This window comes from Homo sapiens, chromosome 11 (assembly GCF_000001405.40).
Source record: "Homo sapiens chromosome 11, GRCh38.p14 Primary Assembly".
NCBI classification, from domain to species: Eukaryota; Metazoa; Chordata; class Mammalia; order Primates; family Hominidae; genus Homo; species Homo sapiens.
This window is the reverse complement of record NC_000011.10, coordinates 102,802,919-102,829,088: the sequence shown is the minus strand read 5'-3', so window position 1 is coordinate 102,829,088 and position 26,170 is coordinate 102,802,919. Positions and strand designations below refer to the sequence as shown.

General features: G+C 39.7%; 2 pseudogenes across 1 annotated transcript in view; one reads left to right on the top strand and one right to left on the bottom strand.

The window, feature by feature from the left end:
* Positions 1-26,170, bottom strand: part of WTAPP1 (WTAP pseudogene 1) — a 53,091-nt pseudogene that overhangs the window by 7,678 nt on the left and 19,243 nt on the right. The window lies entirely within an intron of this gene.
* On the top strand, positions 20,763-22,340 carry CSNK1A1P2 (casein kinase 1 alpha 1 pseudogene 2; annotated as a pseudogene).

Sequence of the window (26,170 nt, the reverse complement as noted above, 5' to 3'; positions counted from 1 at the left end):
AATATAATATATGAAACTCTATTACATTATGCATAATATACATTATATTATGTATGTATATTATATATACATGTATATATACGTGTATAAAAACGTGTATATACATATATACGTGTATATACATATATACGTGTATAAAAACGTGTATATACATATATACGTGTATAAAAACGTGTATATACATATATACGTGTATAAAAACGTGTATATATACATATATACGTGTATAAAAACGTGTATATATACATATATATGTGTATAAAAATGTATATATACATATATATGTGTATAAAAATGTATATATACATATATACGTGTATAAATGTATATATACTTGTATAAATGTATATTATGCATAATGTACATAATGTATATTATGCATAATGTACATGTTTATTATACACAATGTATATTGTATATAATGTATATATACTATATAACATTTATGTGTATTACATATTTATACAATGTAGATCATATATAATGTATGTTATGTATAATATATATTTAATAGAGAATGAATACAAGTGAGACTTTTGTTTAAGGAATGTTATTATGCTGTGTTATGTTTTGCAGTCACTGCTATTTTGAATATTTTCTGTTTTTAAGTTGTTTGCAAAGTGTATGAGAATTTGAGTTAAGTGAGTCAATTGATTGATTTATTAGATTACTAAGCATTACTTAAGTGTTTAGAAATATCTGGCTTGTTGGGTTTTAAGTCTGCATAATAGACTTGCATTATCTGAAAAAATTACCTACATTGAAATTGTAATTATGATTTGAAGTGTTGATGAAAATATTACTTATGAATTCAAATAGCATTAAATGATTAAGGTTAATTTATTATTTTTACTGTACAAATCAATAAATATTAATCAAAGCTAGTGAAAATGATTGTACTTATTTTTATATAAATATACTAGATTAATAAACAAGATTAGAAAGCTGAACTTAAAATATTAAGAAAACTTAGGATTTAACTCTTTAATAGATGGAGTATTATTATAATAAAAGTAAAACTCTAAGTATTAATAGGCATGCAAAAAAGGCCCCCTTAGACATTAGCAAATCCAATTGAAAGGCTAACGTATATTACTATTGCTATCTTAACACAGAAGGGAAACAAATACTTTGTATATACTATCTCATTTAATTCTCACCTATGAAGAAGATATTATTAAACTTTTTTACAAATATAGGGATGTATAGAGAGATTGCACAACATCCTCAAGGTCATACAGATAGTAAATGGCAGAGCCAGATATCTAATGCATCTAGTCTGACACCAAGCTTATGTTACATCCACTTTGCTGCCTCTCTATTCTTTAAGTTAACATGAATTAACCTATGATATGGTGTGGCTGTATCCCCACCCAAATCTTATCTTGAGTTGTTGCTCCCATAATCCACATGTATCATGGAAAGGACCTGTTGGGAGGTAACTGAATCAAGGGGGTGAGTTTTTCCTGTGTTGTTCACATGAGAGTGAGTAAGGCTCACAAGATCTGATGGTTTTATAAAGAGCAATTCCCTTATGCACGCTCTCTTGCCTGCCACCATGTAACATGTGCCTTTGCTCCTCCTTTGCCTTCTGCCATGATTGTGAGGCCTCCTCAGTCATGTGGAACTGTCAGTCTATCAAACTTCTTTCCTTTATAAATTACCCAGTCTTGGGTATGTCTTTATTAGCAGTGTGAGAACAGACTAATACAGTAAGTTGGTATCAGTAGAGTGGGGTGCTACTGTAAAGATACCCGAAAATGTGGAAGTGACTTTGGAACTGGGTAACAGGCTAGGTTGGAACAGTTTGGAGGGCTCAGAAGATATGAAAATGTGGAAAAGTTTGAAACTTCCTAGAGACTCAGAGGGCTTAGAAGACAGGAAGGTGTGGGAAATTTGGAACTTCCTAGAGACTTGTTGAATGGCTTTGACCAAAATGCTGGCAGTGATTTGGACAAAAAGGTCGATGCTGAGGTTGTCTCAGATAGAGATGAGGATCCTGTTGGGAACTGGAGGCCACTCTTTTATTTATTTTTCTGAGAAGGAGTCTAGCTCTGTCACCCAGGCTGGACTGCAGTGGCGCAATCTCGGCTCACTGCAAGCTCCACCTCCTGGGTTCACGCCATTCTCCTGCCTCAGCCTCCCAAGTAGCTGGGACTACAGGCACCTGCCACCGTGCCTAGCTAATTTTTTGTATTTTTAGTAGAGACAGGGTTTCACCTTGTTAGCCAAGATGGTCTCAATCTGACCTCATGATCTGCCCGCCTTGGCCTCCCAAAGTGCTGGGATTACAGGCATGAGCCACTGCACCTGGCCAGGTCACTCTTGCTATGCAAAGAGACTGGTGGCATTTTGCCCTTGCCCTACAGGTGTGTGGAATTTTGAACTTAGGAGAGATGATTTAGGGTATCTAGGGGAACAAATTTCTAAGTGGCTAAGCATTCAAGAGGTGATGGGATATAAAAGTTTTGAAAATTTGCAGCCTGACAATGAGATAGGAGAGAAAAACTTTTTTTCTGAGGAGAAATTCATACCTGTTGCAGAAACTTATATAAAACAAGGAGCCAAATGTTAATCACCAAGACAATGGGGAAAATGTCTCCAGGGCATGTCAGAGACCTTCATGGCAGCCCTTCCCATCACAGGCCCAGAGGCCTGGGAGGGAAAAATGGTTCTGCGGGCCAGGGCCAGGACCCCCCCTTTGCTGTGCACAGCCTTGGGACTTGGTGCCGTGCGTCCCAGCCACTCCAGCTGTAGCTAAAAAGGGCCAACATACAGCTCAGGCAATTGCTTCAGAGGGTGCAAGCCCCAAGCCTTGGAAACTTCCAAGTAGTGTTGGGCCTGTGGGTACAGAGAAGTCAAGAATTGAGATTTGGGAATCTCTGCCTAGATTTCAGAAGATGCATGGAAATGCCTGGATGTCCAGGCAAGAAGTTTGCTGCAGGGGTGGAGCCCTCATGGAGAAACTCTCTAGGGCAGTGTGGAAGTGAAATGTGGGGTTGGAGCACCCACAAAGAGTCCCCACTGGGACACTGCTTAGTGGAGCTGTGAGAAGAGGCCCACTGTCCTGCAGACCCCAGAATGGTAGATCCAATGACAGTTTGCACTGTGCACCTGGAAAAGCCACACTCAATGTCAGCCAGTGAAAGCAGCAAAAATGGGGGCCATACCCTGCAAAGCCACAGAGGCAGAGCTGCCCAAGGCTGTGGGAGCCCACCTCTTGCATCAGCATGACCTGGATGTGAGACATGGAGTTAAAGGAGATCATTTTGTAACTTTAAGGTTTAATGACTGCCCTGTTGGATTTTAGACTTTCCAGGGGACTGTAGCCCCTTTGTTTTGGCCAATTTTTCCCATTTGGAGCAGGTATATTTACCCAATGCCTGGTACCCACATTGTATCTAGGAAGTAACTAACTTGCTTTTGGCAGAAGGGACTTGCCTGTCTTAGATGAGACTTTGGACTGTGGACTTTTGAGTTAATGCTGAAATGAGTTCAGACTTTGGGGGACTGTTGGGAAGGCATGATTAGTTTTGAAATGTGAGGACATGAGATTTGGGAGGGGCCAGGGGTGGAATGATATGGTATGGCTGTGTCCCCACCCAAATCTCAACTTGAATTGTAGCTCCCATAATCCACATGTGTTGTGAGAGGGACTCACTGGGAGGTAACTGAATCATGGAGGTGAGTTTTTCCCATGCTATTCTCACGACAGTGCATAAGTCTCATGAGATCTGATGGTTTTATAAAGAGTACTTCCCTTACACATGCCCTCTTGCTTGCCACCATGTAAGACAAGCCTTTGCCCCTCCTTTGCCCTCTGCCATGATTGTAAATCCTCCTCAGCCATATGGAATTATGCGTCCATTAAAACTCTTTCCTTTATAAATTTCCCAGTCTTGGGTATGTCTTTATTAGCAGCATAAGAATGAACTAATACAGCCTATAAATGTGATTAAGAGCAAAAGAGATAGAGCAAAGAACAGACTGAGTGACATAATAGGGCAAGAGTTGGAATAAAGAAACAGCTGGAGTAGAGGAAGTGGTTGGCTCTTTGTAGCAGGTTGAGTCAAAGGGGTAAGTTTAGGTGACCTAGGAATGGATGTATAATACAGACATTCAGAAGTGGAAGGTTCATAATTTTGATAAGATCCTTTAAGTGACATTTTATATTATTTTTCTATTAATAAAATAAATCTTACGCCTGGTAATGAAATATCTCATGTGCACCCAAGGGCCTATTTCTAAGTAATGTAGCCATTTCATAATTCAAAAATAGCTGATAATTTCTCAATTAGGAAATGTCCATTACAAAATCACTGCAAAATCTGATGCCACAGGAGAAGCTTGAGTGACTCATAAAAGAGTACTGTGCAGGACATCTACACTCCTGGAACACATGTGGTATCTGAGACTACAAATGGATTCTTAAAGGCATGGAAATATTTTATGCATCTGCTGCAGAATACTGAACCAATATCCCTAACAAATTTATCTGAAAATGACAATTTAATCTTAAATTTTTCTGTGTGTGAACTTCCTTTGAATTTATTATCTCTCAAGTCCTAATGTGTTACCCTTTGACTGTCAGGTAGATGAAGTAGTCTTTTTCTCAATGTTCTGAGACCACATCAGTCTTGTGATTAATCAGATGCAAATTACATCCTTGTGAATGAGTGATCAACTTACAAAAAGAGTCATAACCATAAGACTATAGTTTGCAGAAATTTAGGTCAAAATCCTGCTCTGCTAAGAAAGGACAAAAATGCTTTCTACCTTTCGGGAGCTCACAATTGAGAATTATACCACTGATATGGAGATACATAAAGAGCAGACAGGGTAGGAGATATTAATTTGCTTTTTCATTCATTCATTCTTTCGACAATATTCACTAAGCACTCATTATATGCCAAGCACTTCTAAGAGCTTTGATAAATCAGTGTATTAGTTCATATTCATGCTGCTGATAAAGACATACCCAAGACTGGGCAATTTACAAAAGAAAGAGGTTTAATGGACTTACAGTTGCACATGGCTGAGGAGAACTCACAATCATGGCAGAAGCTTAGGAGGAGCAGTCATGTCTTATATGGATGGCAGCAGGCAAAGAGAGCTTGTGCAGGGAAACTCCCCTTTTTAAAACCATCAGATCTTGTGAGACTTATTCACTAGCATGAGAACAGCACAAGAAAGACCTGCCCCCATGATTCAATTACCTCCCACTGGGTCCCTCCCATAACATGTGGGAATTCAAGATGAGATTTGTCAGGGGAACACAGCCAAACCATATCAATCAGTGAAAAAAACAAAGATCTTTGTCTTCTTAGAACTTGCATTCAAACAAGAGAGACGGATAATAGCAAATAAATAACTTATGTCATATATTAGAAGGAGATAAGTACAATGGAAAATAGAAAAAGTAGAGTGAGGTTGGGATTGCAAGCAAAGAGGGCTTGGGGTGGTGACAGTTGCAGTAGGGTGCTCAAAGTAAGCCTCGTGGAGAAGATGATATCTGAACAAAGACTGGGAGAAGGCGAGAGAGCTTGCCAAGTGAATCTAGGAAAAAAGCACTCCAGCCTGAATAACAGCTAGAGTGGAGGATCCTAAGATGGAGTGTGATCATGATGGTCAAAGGACAGCAAGAGGACTACTTACAACAATCAAAAGGTGGGAGGGGAGTGGAAGTGCTAGAAGATAAAGTCCCAGGGATAAGGGTTGAGGTGGAAGGCAAAGTGAGTGGGGGTATTGGGCCAATATAAACACGGGCTTTCACTGTGAGTGAAATGGGGGTGGGCATTGGAAGGTGTGGAGCAGAAGAGCCTCTGGTGCTCTGCTAGGTTAGATTGTATGGGAGAAAGGGTAGATTCACAGAGACCTATGAGGAAGCTACTGCAGTATTCCGGCCAAGAGAGGATGGTGACTCCAATCAGGACGGGAACAGTGGAAATGGAGAGAAGGATATATTAGAGGGTGGAACCAGCAGGATTTAATGACAGACTGGCTGGGAAGTGTGAGAAAGAGAGAGGAGTTTAGGATGACTTCAAGTCTTTTGGACTGAGCAACTGAAAGGATGAAGCTGCCAAGTTGCCATCACCTGAAACGTGGAAGGCTGTGGGTGGAGCAGGGAGTTGGGGCAAGATTAGAGGTTCCATTTTGGACACATTGTGTGTTTGAGAGGTCTATTTGACATCCAAGTAGAGATGTTGGATATAGGAGTATGCAGTTTAGGGAAAAGGCCTGGATTGGAGACATAAATTTGGGAGTTATCAGCACATAGATGATTTTAAGGCTTGAGAATGGATGAGTTTAACAATGTAGTAAGAAAAAAGAAGTGAAGAGATCCAAGGACTGAGTCTTGAGGCATTTCAATATTGAATTAGAAAACATCTACAATATAAGTTCATATTTTGCCACTCTTCCTTTGTAATAGAATGCAACACCACAATCATTAATGGAATAAAGCAGGATAGCATATATTATATATAATCTATATAACCTATATATAGATTGTATGTGTATAATCTATAATTATAGGTTGCTGCTTGTTGATATTTGTGAGAGTCAACAGTAGGAATTATAATATTTATATATAGATATATACATTTATATACATATATTCAATGTTTATATACATGTGATGTGCTGGTAAGATGGACAGTTTGGGACAGAAAAGTGTGAACTCTTCATAGATGCTCCTAGGATGCGCAGCCAATGAGTGGAGGACTATTTAAGTTTATTTCCTTTCTCAAGGAAGGAAATGAGGGAGAAGTGATTGGAAAAGAGAAAGGATTAAGATGGCAAAATACAGAATGACATTAGGAAACTAATCTAGATTGATCATGTAGGAAGTGGGCAGGTGTAAAGGACACCTCATACAGGAGAGCTCCGGCTGGCATCTGGCACAATCATGGCAGAAGGCAAGGAGGAGCAGTCATGTCTTACATGGATGGGAGCAGGCAAAGAGAGCCTGTGCAGGGAAACCCCTTTTTAAAACCCTTCTCACCCCTCTGGGATGAAGCTTCCAGAGGAAGGAGCAGGGAAGAGAGTGGTGTCTGGGGAGAATATTCAGAGTCCCCAGGTTGGGACCAGAGAATCTGCAGGAGGGTCTTCATTCCTCAAGGATTAGAGGCTGAGAGGGCTTCAGTCAGTCTAACTAAGAAGCAAGGCCAGGCTTAACCTCAAGCAAGGAAAGGGATACTTGAGGTTGCTTGATTTGTGTCCATCTCATTCATTCATTGATGTATTCATTCCTTAAACAGGACATTTACAGAATGTCTGTGATTGCCAGGCACTGCGCTATGGATAAAAGATATATTCAGACAGGATTCCTGCTTATACTCTAGCAGGAGAGAGAGAAAAGTGAACAGGCAAGCAGGTTACAGGATATGAGTACTATTTAGTGCAGGCACACAGAGCTGGGGAAACACATAGCAACTAACCAGGCTTCAGAGATCAGGGAAGGATTTTCGAAAAGGTACATTTAAGCTGAGACCCAAAGGGCAAATGCTTAGTAAGTCAAGGAAAGGAGGGGTGGTATCTCTTCCAAATAGATGGTATAGGATGTAAAAGCCAAGAAAGGAGAGAAAACCTGACTTTTTATCTACTTCGACTCCTTAGCAGGGTATCAAAGCCCTTCATAATTCCAGCCCTGGTTACTGATCCATCTCATCTCTTATTATCTCCTACCCCAAATGCTACACTCCAGCCATTCTGAACCACTTGAATTTCCCTATATGTACCAAGCTCTCTTCTTTCTCCAGCCCTCAAGGTCGCTGTACCCACTGCCTAGAATATTGTGAATGATATGTTTGTTATGCATGCCTATTTGTTTTTCCTTCTCTGACATGTCCTCCAAAGTCCCCATGGATATGGCAGACCTAGACAATAATGTTTGTACCAGCAACCTCACCAGTATGGCTCTAGTTGATTGGATTAGAGATGAACACAAGAATAAAGCAGAGCCTGTCATGTGCTCTTTCCCAGAATTAGAAATGATAGACCCAGAACACATGTCCATGATCAAATTCATAAGATGAACTAGGATTGGAACCAGAATTAGAACCATAGCAAGTCCTAGTCACACACAGGCTGATGTTACGGAGGGGGAGCATCAGTTTGAAGGAGCCTACAGAAAGAAAAAATAGCAAACATTCAGGTTAAGTCTATGTAAGAAAAAGAGAGAAACACAGAGAAGGCAGAGGGATGGGGGAGAGAATGAGAGACAGAGACAGAGCTTGTAATCTTTCCATTTCTCAAGAAGGCTGTCCTGAGATTAGATCCCATGAGAATCCTCAAGTTCCTTACTATAAATCCCCTGTAAATGATCTCCCAACAAAAAGATTTTAGGCTTAGACATAAGTTAAAAGTGGGTTGGCAAGCCACAGACCCTCAGAGGATATGTGGAATTGGTGGTGGGGGTCCCAGGAGGGCAGCGTAAAATACCATGTCAAAGTGAAGCCAGTACTTGAGGAGGGGGAAAAATCAGCTGATTACCTGCCATCTGTATTAAACTGTGTCCTGGAACCCAAGCCATGGGCTTCCTGAGGGTGAAGTTTTAAGGTCTTTGGATAAAAAGTAAATGTATTTGAAGGTGTTGATTATTCCTCATAATCTAAAGTCTCTAATGAAAGGAACATGTTATAATCCAGATTTCCTTACAGAAAATGAGTAAGTAAGTAAAATAAGTCAAAAAATAAAGAAGGCCTGAGACTGAGAGGCAAGATGGCCGAGTAAGAACAGCTCTGGTCTGCAGCTCCTAGTGAGACCAATGCAGAAGCTGGGTGATTTCTGCATTTGCAACTGAGGTACGTGGTTCATCTCATTGGGACTGGTTAGACAATGGATGCAGCCCACGGAGGGTAAGCAGGAGCAGGGTGGGGCGTCACCTCACCTGGGAAGTACAAGCGGTTGGGGAACTCCTTCCCCTAGCCAAGGGAAGCCATAAGGGACTGTGCCGTCAGGGACTGTACCATGAGCAACAGTGCACTCCAGAGCAGACACTACACTTTTCCATGGTCTTTGTAAACCGCAGACCAGGAAATTCCTCAGGTGCCTACACCACCAGGGCCCTAGGTTTCAAGCACAAAACTAGGTGGCCATTTGAGCAGACACAAAGCTAGCTGCAGGAGTTTTTTTTTTTTTTTTTTTTTTTTGTACCCCAGTGGTGCCTGGAACACCAGCGGGACAGAACCATGCACTCCCCTGAAAAGGGGGCTGAAGCCAGAGAGCCGAGTGGTCTTCTCAGCGGATCCCACCCTCACGGAGCCCAACAAGCTAAGACCCACTGGTTTGAAATTCTCACTGCCAGCACAGTAGTCCGAAGTCGACCTGGGACGCCCAAGCTTGGTGCAGGGAGGGGCATCCACCATTAGTGAGGCTCCAGTAGGCTGTTTTCCCCTCATAGTGTAAACAAAGCCACCAGGAAGTGAACTGGGTGTGAAACCAGTGTGGTGAAGCCACTGCAGCCAGATTGCCTCTCTAGATTCCTCCTCTCTGGGCAGGGCATCTCTGAAAGAAAGGCAGAAGCCCCAGTCAGGGGCTTATAGATTAAAACTCTCATCTCCCTGGGACAGAGCCCCTGGGGGAAGGAGCAGCTGTGGGCACAGCTTCAGCAAACTTAAACATTCCTGCCTGTCAGCTCTGAAGAGAGCAGCAGATCTCCCGGCACAGTGCTTGAGCTCCGCTAAGGAACAAACTGCCTCCTCAAGTGGGTCCCTGACCCTCATGCCTCCTGACTGGGAAACATCTCCTAGCAGGGGTCAACAGACACCTCATACAGGAGAGCTCCTGCTGGCATCTGGCAGGTGCCCCTCTGTGACGAAGCTTCCAGAGGAAGGAGCAGACAGCAATCTTTGCTGTTCTGCAGCCTCTGCTGGTGATAGCTAGGCAAACAGGGTCTGGAGTGGACCTCCAGCAAACTCCAGCAGACCTGCAGAAGAGAGCCCTCAATGTCAGAATAAAAACTAACAAACAGAAAGCAATAGCATCAACATCAACAAAAAGGACACCCACATAAAAACCCCATCCAAAGGTCACCAACGTCAAAGACCAAAGGTAGATAAATCCACGAAGATGAGGAAAAAACAGCACAAAAAGGCTGAAAATTCCAAAAACCAGAATGCCTCTTCTCCTCCAAAGGATCACAACTCCTCGCCAGCAAGGGAACAAAACTGGACGGAGAACGAGTTTCATGAATTGACAGAAGTAGTCTTCAGATGGTGGGTAATAACAGACTCCACCAAGCTAAAAGAACATGTTCCAACCCAATGCAAGGAAGCTAAGAACCTTGATAAAAGGTTACAGAAACTGCTAACTAGAATAACCAGTTTAGAGAAGAACATAAATGACCTGATAGAGTTGAAAAACACAACACAAGAACTTCGTGAAGCATACACAAGTATCAATAGCTAAATCAATCAAGTGGAAGAAAGGATATCAGAGATTGAAGATCAACTTAATGAAATAAAACATGAAGATAAGATTAGAGAAGAAATAATAAAAAGGAATGAACAAAGCCTCCAAGAAATATGGGACTATGTGAAAAGACCAAACCTACGTTTGATTGGTGTACCTGAAAGTGACGGGGGAATGGAATCAAGTTGGAAAACACACTTCATGATATTATCCAAGAGAACTTCCTCAACCTAGTAAGACAGGCCAACATTCAAATTCGGGAAATACAGAGAACACTACAAAGATACTCCCTGAGAAGAGCAACCCCAAGACACATAATCATCAGATTCACCAAGATGAAATGGAGGAAAAAATGTTAAGAGCAGCCAGAGAGAAAGGTCGGGTTACCCACAAAGGGAAGCTCATTACACTAACAGTGGATCTCTCTGCAGAAACCCTACAAGCCAGAAGAGAATGGGGGCCAATATTCAACATTCTTAAAGAAAAGAATTTTCAACCCAGAATTTCATATCCAGCCAAACTAAGCTTCATAAGTGAAGGAGAAATAAAATCCTTTACAGACAAGCAAATGCTGAGGGATTTTGTCACCATCAGGCCTGCCTTACAAGAGCTCCAGAAGGAAGTACTAAATATGGAAAGGAAAAACCGGTACTAGCCACTGCAAAAGCATACCAAATTGTAAAGACCACCTACACTATGAAGAAACTGCATCAACTAACGGGCAAAATAACCAGCTAGCATCATAATGACAGGATCAAATTCACACAAAACAATATTAACCTTAAATGTAAATGAGCTAAATGCCCCAATTAAAAGACACAGACTGGCAAATTAGATAAAGAGTCAAGGCCCATTGGTGCGCTGTATTCAGAAGACCCATCTCACATGCAAATACACACATAGGCTCAAAATAAAGGGATAGAGAAATATTTACCAAGTAAATGGAAAGCAAAAAAAAAAAAAAAAAAAAAAAAAAAAAAAAAAAAAAAAAGCAGGGGTTGCAATCCTAGTCTCTGATAAAACAGACTTTATACTAACAAAGATCAAAAAAGACAAACAAGGGCATTACATAATGGTAAAGGTATCAATACAACATGAAGAACTAACTATCCTAAATATATATGCAGCCAAAACAGGAGCACCCAGATTCATAAAGCAACTTCTTAGAGACCTACAAAGAGACTTAGACTCCCACACAATAATAGCAGGAAAATTTAACAGCCCACTGTCAACATTAGATCAAGGAGACAGAAAATTAACAAGGATATTCAGGACTTGAACTCAGCTCTGGACCAAGTGGAACTAATAGACATATACAGAACTTTCCACCCCAAATCAACAGAATATACATTCTTCTCAGCACCACATAGCACTTTTTCTAAAATTGACCACATAATTCAAAGTAAAACCCTCCTCAGCAAATGCAAAATAATGGAAATAATAAAAAACAGTCTCTCAGACCACAGTGCAATCAAATTAGGATTCAGGATTAAGAAACTCACTCAAAGCCAAACAACTACATGGAAACTGAACAACCTGTTCCTAAATGACTACTGGGTAAATAACGAAATTAAGGTAGGAATAAATAAGTTCTTTGAAACGAATGAGAAAAAAAGACACAATGTACCAGAATCTCTGGGGCACAGCTAAAGCAGTGTTAAGAGGGAAATTTATAGCACTAAGTGCCCACACGAGAAAACCAGGAATATCTAAAATCGACACCCTAACATCTCAATTAAAAGAGCTAGAGAAGCAAGAGCAAAAAATTCAAAAGTTAGCAGAAGACAGTAAATAACTAAGATTAGAGCAGACCTGCAGGAGATAGAGACACAAAAAAACCCTTCAAAAAATCAAAGAATCCAGGAGCTGGTTTTTTGAAAAGATTAACAAAAGAGATCGACGACTAGCAAGACTAATAAAGAAGAAAAGAGAAGAATCAAATAGGCACAATAAAAAATGATAAAGGGAGAATACCACTGATCCCACAGAAATGCAAACTACCATCAGAGAATAGTATAAATACCTCTATGCAAATAAACTAGAAAATCTAGAAGAAATGGATACATTCCTGGACATATACACCCGCCCAAGATTAACCAGGAAGAAGTCGAATCCCTGAATAGACCAATAACAAGCTCTGAAATTGAGGCAGTAATTAATAGCCTACCAACCATAAAAAGCCCAGGATCAGACAAATTCACAGCCGGATTCTACCAGAGGTACAAAAAGGAGCTGGTACCATTCCTTCTGAAACTATTCCAATAGAAAAGGAGGGACTCCTCCCTAACTCATTTTGTGAGACCAGCATCACTCTGATACCAAAACCTGGCAGAGACACAACAAAAAAAGAAAATTTTAGGCTAATATCCATGATGAACATCGATGCGAAAATCCTCAATAAAATACTGGCAAACCAAATCCAGCAGCACATTAAAAACCTTATCCACAATGATCAAGTCAGCTTCATCCCTGGGATGCAAGGCTGGTTCAACATACGCAAATCAATAAATGTAATCCATCACATAAACAGAACCAATGGCAAAAACCACATGATTATTTCAATAGATGCAGAGAAGACTTTTGATAAAATTCAACACTCTTTCATGCTAAAAACACTAAATAAAGTAGGTATTGATGGAACGTATCTCAAAATAATGAGAGCTATTTATGACAAACCCACAGCCAATATAATACTGAATGGGCAAAAGCTGGAAGCATTCCCTTTGAAAACCAGCACAAGACAAAGGATACACTCTCTCACCACTCCTATTCAACATAGTGTTGAAAGTTATTGCAGGGCAATATTGAAAGATAGCAGGGCAATCATGCAAGAGAAAGAAATAAAGCATATTCAAATAGGAAGAGAGGAAGTCAAATTGTCTGTTTGCAGATGACGTGATTGTGTATTTAGAAAACCCATCATCTCAGCCCAAAAACTCCTTAAGCTGATAAGAAACTTCAGCAAAGTTTCAGGATACAAAATCAATGTGCAAAAATCAGGAGCATTCCTATACACCAATAATAGACAAACAGAGAGCCAAATCATGAGTGAACACCCGTTCACAATTGCTACAAAGAGAATAAAATACCTAGGAATCCAACTTACAAGGGATATGAAGGACCTCTTCAAGGAGAACTACAAACCACTGCTCAAGGAAATGAGAGGACACAAACAAATGAAAAAACATTCCATGCTCATGGATAAGAAGAATCAATATCACGAAAATGGCCATACTGACCAAAGTAATATATAGATTCAATGCCATCCCCATCAAGCTACCATTGACTTTCTTAACAGAATTAGAAAAAAACTACTTTAAATTTCATATGGAACCAAAAATAGCCAAGACAATCCTAAGCAAAAAGAACAAAGCTAGAGGAATCACGTTACCTGACTTCAAACTATACTACAAGGTTACAGTAACCAAAACAGCTTGGTACTGATACCAAAACAGATATATAGACCAATGGAACAGAACAGAGGCCTCAGAAGTAATATCACACATCTACAACCATCTGATCTTTGACAAACCTGACAAAAACAAGCAATGGGGAAAGAATTCCCTATTGTGGGAAAACTGGCTAGCCATATGCAGAAAACTGAAACTAGACCCCTTCCTTCACCTTATACAAAAATTAACTCAAGATGGATTAAAGCCTTAAATAAAAGACCTAAAACCATAAAAAACCCTAGAAGAAAATCTAGGCAATACCATTCAGGACACAGGCATGGACAAAGACTTCATGACTAAAACACCAAAAGCAATGGCAACAGAAGCCAAAATTGACAAACAGGATCTAATTAAACTAAAGCGCTTCTGCACAGCTAAAGAAACTATCATTAGAGTGAACAGGCAACCTACAGAATGGGAGAAAGTTTTTGCAGTCTATCCATCTGACAAAGGGCTAATATCCAGCATCTACAAGGAACTTAAATTTACAAGAAAAAAAAAACCATCAAAAAGTGGGCAAAGGATATGAATAGACATTTCTCAAAAGAAGACATTTATGGGGCCAATAAACATACGAAAAAAAGCTCGTCATCATTGGTCATTACAGAAATGCAAATCAAAACCACAATGAGATACCATTTCACACCAGTTAGAATGGCAATCATTACAAAGTCAGGAAACAACAGATGCTGAAGAGGATGTGGAGAAATAGGAACACTTTTACACGGTTGGTGGGAGTGTAAATTAGTTCAACCATTGTGGAAGACAGTGTGGCGATTCCTCAGGGTTCCAGAACCAGAAATACCATTTGACCCAGCAATCCCATTGCTGGGTATATACCCAAAGGATTATAAATCATTCTGCTATAAAGACACATGTACACGTATGTATATTGCAGCACATTCACAATAGCAAAGACTTGGAACCAACCCAAATGCCCATCAATGATAGACTAGATAAAGAAAATGTGACACATATACACCACGGAATACTATGCAGTCATAAAAAAGAATGAGTTCATGTCCTTTGCAGGCATATGAATGAAGCTGGAAACCACCATTTTCCATAGACTAACACAGGAACAGAAAACCAAACACCTCATGCTCTCATTCATAAGTGGGAATTGAACAATGAGAACATATCGGCACAGGGAGGGGGACATCACACACCAGGGCCTGTCGGGGAGTTGGGGGCAAGGGAAGGGATAACATTAGGAGAAATATCTAATGTAGATGACGGGTTGATGGGTACAGCAAACCACCATGGCACATGTATACCTATGTAACAAACCTGCATGTTCTGCACATGTATCTTAGAACTTAAAGTATAATTAGAAAGGTAGAAAGAAGGAAGGAAGGAAGGGAGGAAAGAAAGAAGGAAAGAAGAAAGAGAGAAAGAAAGAAAGAGAGAAAGAGAGAGGGAGGGAGGGAAAAGAAAAGAGAAAAGAAAAGAAGGCCTACAATCTGTTATTCACGTTCAGACTACCCAAGATGTGTCTAGAAATTAGTCATGTACCTGGCTGAATTGCAACAGTTGAATGCTCTGCCCCACCCAGATGGTAACAGGAATGATAGTGTTCTGAGTGGTGAGAAATGAGTTAAAGACCAGTGAGGAAAGCTGGTGGAGGGTTCTAAGAAATCTAACTCCACTTGCCCAGTGCCTCCCTTCAAAGTGCTTCTCATTAATGGATTCCATCAGATTCCTCTGGTTCTTTAAAATAATCCTCCCTTTAATTCAGTTTGGCATTCCAACCGAATGGAAGGATTGCCTTCCAATCAAATGGTTCCTGATGAAAATGATCACACTGTTCTCCTATTTGTCTTGCACTTGAAGACCCAGCTCAGGGGTTACCATCTTTGGGGACATTCTGAGACCTTGCCAACTCTGCCTACTGGCTGTGTTCATTCCTCCTCTTATGTGCGTCCATTCACACACAGCCCACTGCAGCTGTCCACTTGAATGCATCCCACATGGGCACATTGGACGATGCCCAGCATCAAGCCCCTGACTTAGTCGATGCTCATTAAACTTTTGTTGAATGAATGAATAAGTTTGGCAAGGCAGCAATGCTTGATCCTGGGTGTGAAGAAGTAGTAGGAGTCTATCAGGCCAAGTGTGAAGAGGAAAGGAAGAGCATAGGCAATGGCATTAAGATATGAGAGAACATGTCATATCTAGGAAATTACAGGGTTTGACTACAGTAGGAAAGATGGTCTTTTCTGAGTTATAGTGTAGAGGGAAGAATATGAAGTAATTTTCTAATTATGAACATTAAATTTCTTTAAATAAATGTAACAATTGTGAAAATTATCCTCAAAGCCCATTAATCAATTAATTCAGTCAGTGAATAATTATTCAGCTGCAGCAGCAAATCTATTTTGAAAGTAGCCAGGCTATCAACAAAAAATTAAACTGTTAACATACTTGGCTAATTTACCTTGCACAAAAAGTAAATATCTGAAGCATTTCTGAAATAGATTAAAGGTGCTTCATAAAGGGGCAAAAAATATATGGCTATAAACACCCTGGCCTTTCAAGAATTTACCAAAGAGAGGTACGTGAGGATCCACATAAGTCACATAATCCCTGTAGGTCAGTAGAAAAAAGAGCTGCTCTGGGGAAGATTCCACCCTGGGGTATGGTCCTCGTAAGTGACAGATCACAGCGTAACAGGAAGCTGATTCTTAATATAACTATATTCATCAAGAATCCTCATGATTAAGGGAACATTTTCACTTTCCTAAGATAAAACTAAAGGTGGGAATTATGATGCATGACTTCCTGGCCATGATTTATGCAACTAAGGAATCTGCTGCCTTTGCATTTATTCTTAGAATCACATTTAGCTCATGCCAATGAAAGTGATGATGATAATATGACACTTTATCATATGGCTGCCTCTCAGGCAAGATTCCAAAATTATTAAGGAAGGTAACTCATTGTGTTGCTTCATGATGTACATTTAACGGAAAATTATATTCCAATGGACTTGTTTTACCTCATTGCATTATAACAATTTCCTCAAGAATCATACTTAATTTGCATCCTAGAAAATCATTTAGTATAAATATTTAGTGTGTTGAAATATTCTAATCAAGACACTTGAGCCATAGTTCCAAAAGTTTTGCTCCCAATGAAATAAAAACAAATGAAAATTTAGGGGCTCAATTTCCTCATCTGCAATGTAAGAGTAATAAAGTAGGTGATTTTAGGTGTCTTTCCACTCTAAGAGAAATTAATATTTATTGAGCTGCTATTATGTGACAAGCATGATGTACGTTGCATGTGGGGATTTAATTATCCTCAAAACTGTCATGCTGGATATTAATGTTATTATTTCCACTGTATAGGTGAGAAAACAGTATTAGAGAGGTTAACATACCCAAGAATGTAAGTCTCAAAAGTTGCAAACTCAGTTTTTGAATCCAAATCTGCCTTATACAAAAATCAGTTTTTTTTTTCACACAAGAATGCTGTTTCCAGTTCTATATTCTGTTTCTGTGTACATCTGGTAATTCAACATTTGTAATCAAGCTGCTTGGAGTACTAGTGAATGGGAGTATATAGAATTTGTAATACATGTATACAGGTAGTATTTTGATTAATATTCTAGAGACAAATTTCTTTTTTTAGTTCAAGAAAATGCCATAGACTAAGGAAATGAGTTACATGTCTGTGAATTCCTGTTTACCTTTTATTGCTGTGTAGTACCTGATCATGGGAAACAGTCTTAAAGGTCAGAAGGTAGTAAAAACAACATATGTAGTCATTCAATTTGCAAAGTACTTATCAGTTCAATTACATCATAAATAAATGGTGTAAGCATTATTATTTCCTTTTTGCAGATAACACCCAAGATTGCTCTGCTGTGATTCAAACCTGTATCATTTAATTCCAAATTCTGCACTTTGTCTATCACATCCTTTGGAGAATACTTGAAATATACATCCCCTACACATCCCCCTTCCACATACGAGATAACTATCTTCACTTACTACATCTAAAAAGCACTGAGATTGGAACGTGCATTGACTTTGGAATGAGCCCTGGGTTTAAATTTCCATTCTGCCACCTACTGGAGTTTTGGAGAAGACAACGTATGAGTTTCCATTTTTCCTCACTCACACACTCTTAAGGATCCAGATCTGAGGGATCCTGCCTCCCTAGGCCCACCTCACAACTACCCCAGGAGTTTCCAGGGACCTAGAAGTAGAGCATGGGTCTTTATGCCTGGTGGAAACAGCCCAGATGTCTCTTTCCAGTTTAAGGAAACCTCTCCCTCTCTCATGCCTCCCTGAAACCTTTTTCCTTTCCCCTCTTAGTTGAAGACATCTGACAACCTCTTCCTATGAGCTCAGGCTTTTCCAAAAGTTGGAAAGAGATATTGCCTTCATGTAGGTTTCAACTGAAGTCCTGAAGACACCTCTGAGACTAGGAGATACACAGTTCTTGGCAAAGTCAGGGAAAAATATAGAGGAAAATATAATTTTATATCTCAATATATTATCCTATGACATACTCTGTCTATAGAATTATATGTATATATTATTTTGCTGGGACTGTGTTAAATACACCTATGTATGTATAGTTACATAGACGGGTATATTTACAGATATTGAGTCATAAAGATCCAAGTGTGTGTAGGTAAAATATGTAACATGCACTGGTACCTTTTTATAGAAAGACTGCGCTAACCTTCCATGTAAATAGTATGTAGATTTGCTCTTACAACGTAGACAGCAGGGCGCTAGAAGAGCTCAGTAACAGAAGACACTGGGGGACCTGATGGGGGCTTATGACCTCAAGCTGAGCCTTAAAGCCATGGAAGAAAACAAACAGAAGCTCTAGTTGTGTAGCTTTTAAGATAGAGTTTTCTGAGGGGTTCTGGCTATAATCCTCAGAGAAGATTTCTATAAAAACTATTTTGTCCCATGCATTCTATCTATATACATTCTTCTACACCACCACAGGCATTCTACTTTTGAAAGCTGTGTGGCCTGGAAACTTAGTTTTCTTTCCCAAGACCGCAGAGGAGAACTAGGCTGTGCCTAAAGATAGGGCACTGTCTTTTATCAGCTTCACTGCAGAACGCACAGAGTCTAGTTGCAGGGTGATAGGCTGAGGCTATCTCTGCATTTTACCTGAAATTGAATTTAGTTGAGAAAGCACACACAAAAATAAAAATAATAAATCTAACTCTTATTTAGCATGTATTCTGCTATTCTGTGTCAGAAACTCTTTTCATTGCATGTGATTTAAATGGGAAATAATACATTTATATTACCCTAACTTCAAGGACCACTAATATGAAACAGGGAAGCAGAAGTTGATTTCCTTTTCAATTGATCTCTAGGATTAAATTTTTTTATGAGACGATTTGGAGAGTAGGTAATTTGGTCTCCTTTCTGAAATAGAACGAATCTCCAAAATTCTCCACAATGCAGTATGTGATTCTGAAACTGAATAGTTGCATGTCCTCAGTCTTAAGCCAAATCCCAACAAATACCTACTCATGTTTTGGTGTATAAAATGGCTTAAGAATCATTCACTTTTATCAGCTCCCCAAGACCCAACAAAGGACCCTCGCAGGCAGGGCTTATTGAAATAGTCCAGACAGCTGTCTAACCACACAAATCCTTTAAGTCCCTCTCCACTTACCTCTCCAAGAATGCCCAACAGATATTAGTTATGCCAATGTGACAAGATCTATTATCAGTAGTAAGAAGTGCCAGAACTTAAAGAATAGTAAAAAAGGACTTTGATTAAATTTGTATTTCTGGATAAATTGCCTAGAAAGCACACACTTGCATTTTGAATCTTATTTTCCCTGTCTTTCATAATATTTTTGGAGATATATACCACATAAATATTCATTGGCATAATAGGAATTACACCTAAGATTTTAACAGCTACTTGAAGAAATAATAATTTATGCAATAATTAGGCTGCATCCATTTCATGAGCAAATTAACTTCTAAGAGCTAAATTCGTGTCTGATTATTTTTGCAATTTCTAGCCTTGTAGATCAGACGTGCTTACTAAGTGGGAGTGAGTTCAGTCTACTTGCTTTCAATTTGTTCATACAAAAGTCTAGGGGATACTTAACTAACATGTGGTCCACATATACTGAGACAGTCTGATAAATATATTTTCTTTGAGAGTTCACTGTGGTTTCTTGGGTTTAACCATGTATTAGTCTGTTCTCACGCTGCTAATAAAGACATACCTGAGACCAGGTAATTTAAAAAGGAAAGAGATTTAATTGATTCATAGTTCCACATGGCTGGGGAGGCCTCACAATCCTGGCAGAAGGCGAATGAGGAGCAAAGTCAGGGTCTTACATGGTACTAGGTAAGAGAGCATGTGCAGGGGAACTCCCCCTTTTGAAAACCATCACATCTTGTGAGACTTATTCACTATCACAAGAATAGCACGGGAAAAGACCCGTCCCCATGATTTAATTACTTCCCACGGGACCACTCCCAAGACATGTGAGAATTATGGGACCTACAATTCAAGATGAGATTTGGGTGGGGACACTGCAAAACCGTATCAAACCACTTCAGCATACATAGTCACTAGGATTTCCCTCAGACTTGCAAAGCGAAAGAACTCTTACTGAAAGAAGGGACACTTACCCTTAAAGGGACACTTACCCTCAAAAGTACTAAGTGCCACTTTTTCTATTCTATTGCATGTAACCTAACATTTCCCCTGTTGAGCAAGTTTCTACAAAGCAACTGGTAAACCTTGGAGAATGGGCAGGGACACAATGAAAACATCAGCCTTTTTTCAACAAATCACCTTCCATTAAGAGAATGAGGTGAAGATAAGGAAAATATGAAAAGGGCTTTAAGAAAGTGTAATGCGCTAAGAAAATTCAGAGTGAAACTATTGGGCTGGAGCTGGAGTAACAAGACGGCAGCGTCGGCAGAGGGACAGGGGTCCTTCCGGGCTGGAGCTGCTGGCAGTGGTGGCAATGGTATCCCTGCTCTAGCTCACCGCACCCCTTTTTCCAGCCTGCACATAGCTGAGACAGCAAGGCAGTGGCGCCGCCCAGAAACAAGTGGCCCAGCCTTGTAACTGCAAGAACCCTTTCACAAACCGCAGCCTGGCAACAAGAAACCTGACTGAGCAGCGGTGATCAGGTTCCCCGTCAGCTGATTCCGGGCCGCGAATATGAGGGAGGCCTCCGTGTTCCATGTCCCGTTTCCTGCCACCTTCCGCCGTGGAGGAGCCCCAGAGGCCTCCGTCCTCCTCTCAGAGGCGTCTGGACTTGGCCTCAGCCTCTGTCTTCATCTCTTAGGATGGCGAGCAGCAGCGGATCCAAGGCCGAATTTATTGTTTGAGGGAAATATAAACTAGTAAGGAAGATCAGGTCTGGCTCCTTCTGGGACCTTTATCTGGCCATCGATATCACCAATGGCGAGCAAGTGGCAGTGAAGCTAGAATCTCAAAAGGCCAGGCATCCCCAGTTGCTGTAGGAAAGCAAACTCTGTGAGATTCTTCAAGGCAGGCTTGGCATCCCCCACATACCGTGGTATGATCAGGAAAAAGACTGCAATGTACCAGTCATAGACCTTCCGGGACCTAGCCTCGAAGACCTCTTCAATTTCTCTTCAAGAAGGTTCACAATGAAAACTGTGCTTATGTTAGCTGACCAGACAATCAATAAAATTGAGTATGTGCATACAAACAATTTTATACATAGAGACGTTAAACCAGATAACTCCCTAAAGGTATTGGACACCACTGTAGTAAGTTATTCCGTATTGATTCTGGTTTGGTCAAAAAATACAGCAACAGCAGGACAAGGCAACGCATACTGTGCAGGTAATATAAAAATCTCACTAGCACTGCCCGACGTGCCAGCATCAATGCACATCTTGGTATCGAGCAGAGTCACAGAGATGATATGGAATCCTTAGGCTGTTTTGATGTGTTTTAACAGAACCAGCTTGCCATGGCAAGGACTTAGGTCCGCAACAAAGAAACAAAAATATGAAAAGATTAGTGAAAAGAAGATGCCCACTCCTGTTGAAGTTTTATGTAAGGGGTTTCCTGCAGAATTTGCCATGTGCTTAAACTATAATCGCGGGCTACACTTTGAGGAAGTCCCGGATGAGGTGTATCTCAGACAGCTATTCCGCATTCTTTCGAGGACCCTGAACCACCAATACGACTAAACATTTTATTGGACAATGTGAAAGTTGAAAGTAGCGCAGCAGACAGCCTCTTCCAGTGGGCAGGGTCAGCAGGCCCAAACCCCCACTGGTTTCTAAGCACGAGCTGAGTAACAGAAGAAGCAGAGCAGATGATCTGTTGCTTTTGATCTCGCATTTGTTGCTGCTAGAAATTTTATTTCATATGTACACTAGCCAATGGTAGTTGCAACCAACTACTTGGTGTTAGGAACTTAATTTCAGTATGAACTGACTCTGGGCAGCACTGGTAATGCTGCATCCTGAATTGCAGCTGCTGTAATCGTGAATATTAACTGAGATAGTGAAACATGATGTCCGGTTTTCTATTGCATTTTTTTTCAAGTGAAAAAATTAAATGTTTGACTCACACAAATTAGTGGAGAAATTGGGCAAATGCCAATTTTTTTGTTAAAACCTTTTGTTTTGAACTATACTACTTTGAGATGTCATTTAAGAAGAAGGAGATAAAGTCTTCAGCCACAGTTGTGATGGTTGTAAGTGCTCGCAATTGTGCATTCTTAGCATTTTTCCATCCCTGGGCTTTGCAAGTTCTTCACTTAAAACATTCTTAAAATGGTTGTCTTGTTGCTTGAAAGCCAATTGATATGATAGCAACCAAATATTCCATTGTTTGAGCATATGAAAGGCTCTGCCTGCTCATTCGTGCTAGAAATAACAGCGTCCAAAATGAAGATGTAAGAAAAACTTAGTAACTACTAGGTTATTCTTAGGACTCTGCATTAATTTTATAATATTCTTGTTATTTAAAAAAGCATATTTGTCACAGAAATTTAGTTAACATCTTACAACTAAACATGTATCCATGTTGCTTAGATAAACATAATCACTGTAAACATCTGCATGATCTGGGATTTTGTTTTTATTTTGAAATGGGAACTTTTTTTGTTTACAAGTTCATTGAAAACTAAAAACTTTCTGTAAAAAAAACCTATCTCACAAAGGGAGAAAGGTAATGGAGGAAATTATCAGCGAAGTAACCCTTATACTAAGTCTTGCAGAATGGGTAGACTTGTATTAAGTAGAAATAGAGGAGAATAAAAAATATAAAAAAGCAGGACAGGTACAAGGCACATTTGGGAAAAAATATAATTCACTTTGTTTGTAAGGGGGTAGGATGAGAGGGAAGTGGGACCGGTAAGTTATTTTTAGACCTGAGCATGGAAGGTCTTAAGTGCTAAAGTTAGTTTATATCTGTTTTGCTTTTTTTAAAAATTAATTTTTTATTTCTATAGGTTACTGGGGAACAGGTGGTGTTTGGTTACATGTGTAAGTTCTTTAGTGATGATTTGTGAGATTTTAGTGCACCCATTACCTGAGCAGTATATACTCAATTTGTAGTCTTTTATCTAAACCTGACCCCCTTCCCACCCTTTCCTCCTGAGTCCCCAGAGTCCATTGTGTCATTTTTATGCCTTTGCATCTTCACAGCTTAGCTCCCACTTATGAGTGAGAACATAAGATGTTTGACTTTCCATTCCTGATTTACTTCACTTAGAAGAACAGTCTCTAATCTCATCCAGGTTGCTGCAAATGCCATTAATTCATTCCTTTTTATGGCTGAGTAGTATTCTACCACATATAATAGTATTCCATCATATATAATATATATACTCTATATATAGTATATATATTATAATATACAGAGTATTATATATATCATATATAGTATTCTGTTATATTTTTTATATATATAATGTATATATATGATATATGATAAAATATATATATGATAAATATATATCACAGTTTCTTTATCCACTTGTTGATTCATGGGCATTTGGGTTGGTTCCACATTTTTGCAACTGCGAATTGTGCTGGTATAAACATGCATATGCAAGTATCTTTTTTGTATAATTTAGTTCTTTTCCTCTGGGTAGATACTCAGTAGCGGAATTGCTGGATCAAATGGTAGTTCTACTTTTAGTTATTTAAGGAACCTCCACACTGTTTTCCATAGCGGCTGTGCTAGTTTACATTCCCACCAGCAGTGTAGAAGTGTTCCCTGTTCACTGCATCCATGCCAACATCTACTGTTTTTTGATTTTTTGATTATGGGCATTCTTGCAGGATTAAGGTGGTATCGCATTGTGGTTTTGATTTGCATTTCCCTGATCATAAGTGATGTTGAGCATATTTTCATATGTTTGTTGGCCATTTGTATATCTTCTTTTGAGAATTGTCTGTTCATGTCCTTAGCCCACTTTTTGATGACATTGTTTGTTTTATTCTGGCTAATTTATTTGAGTTTGTTGCAGATTCTGGATATTAGTCCTTTGTCAGATATATCAATTGTGAGGATTTTCTCCCACTCTGTGGGTTGTCTGTTTACTCTGCTGGTTGTTCCTTTTGCCGTGCTAGACAATGGATACCACTGAAGCATTTTATTCATAAAAATAATTACAAATATTTTGTGTGTGTTCACTGTGTGCCAGTCATTGTACTAATATATTTTATATGTATTATTTTAGTCTCCAAACAACCATCTAAGGCAGGTGCTGTTATTATTTCCATTTTTTAGATGAGAAAATAAAAAGGTTGAATAATTGGTCATTTAGCTAGTAATTGGCAGAGTTGGCATTTGAACCCACGTCTGTGATTTAGCAAGCTGTGCTAGGTAAGAAGTATATAAGGAGGAATAGGAGTCTTGGTTTAAAAGAAAATGAAACCAGATCTATCCAGATGGAAGTGTCCTGGTGGCAGTGGAAACTATGAGACAGGAGTTCAGGAAAACAGTAGGGCTCGAGTTTAGGAAGACATTTTTGTGGGGATGTTGGGTGAAGTTGTGGGAATAGATGAGACTGTCCTGGAGAAATAGTGGCCAGAGATTAAAAGTGAAGACTCAAAACAGGACATTGGTGAATGGCAAAATTCAAGAGGAAGGGAAGGAAGGAGACACCAGCAAAGGAGGGGAAATAATCAGAAAGGTACAGGGAGAAAAATAAAGTGCAGAAACTCCAAGCTGAGGGTTTCCAAGACTGAGCATTGAATACTAAAAAGGACTGATGAAAATGTGAACTGAAGAAAAGCCATTTGACTTTTTTAAAATGGTGGATGTTAATAGTAATGTTTGAAAATGTACTACAAGGGGGTGAGGTCAAGGTCAAGATCCAAGTTAAGTAATAAGGCTGATGACAAAGAGAAAAGTGATGCTCAAGGAGTTATGGGTTGCAACAATTGTTAGGGTTGTGCTCCTTCATGTATTTCACAGAGCAGCCATGTTCACAGGATGAGGGAAAGAATCTGTGCCAAGGGCAAGAAACACCCTTGAGAGAGAAGGGTATAATTCACGGGAGAAGATGTCAGTTTAAGCAAAAAGGGACTGTGCAGTCTTATTGGTGGTTTCATCAATAATTTTCTATTAGAACTAAAAATGCATCTCAGTGACAAGTATAAAAAGATGTCTGCAGGGATTAATCTTTTGTCTTAAGAGCTGAATTACCTGGTTTAGCAGCCAAAGACCTTTTTCAAGTTTCTGTCTCTACTACTTGCTAGAGGAACTGTCTTGGACAAAAGATTTAGTCATGGAAAGTTGTCCCAGTTTCTTCACCTATGAAATGGAAATAATAGTATCCACCCTAACTATTCCACAGGATTATTGTGAGGATAAAATAGTTTTGTATGTTAAAGGTATAGAGAGCCCAGTAAAGGTTAAATGTTATTTCTTTCAGTGAGAATTCATAAGAATTGACTGATTCTTAGCCAGGCATGGTGGCACATGCCTGTAATCCCAGCCACTTGAGAAGCTGAGGCAGGAGAATTGCTTGAGCCCGGGAAGTGGAGGTTGCAATGAGCCAAGATCATGCCACTGCACTCTAGCCTGGGTGACAGAGTGACACTCTGTCTCAATAGAAAAAAAAAAAGAAAAAGAATTGACTGGTTCAAGGAAAACCAGCTGACCAGCCCAATGGTCATCATAAATGATTATAACTTTAGGAGGCTGATGAGGGAGGATCACTTGAGGCTAGGAGTTTGAGACCAGCCGGAACAGCATAGCAAGACCCTGTCTCTACAAAAATAATAATAATAACAATTAGCTGGGTGTGGTGGCATACACCTGTAGTTCCCCAGTTGCCGTACGAG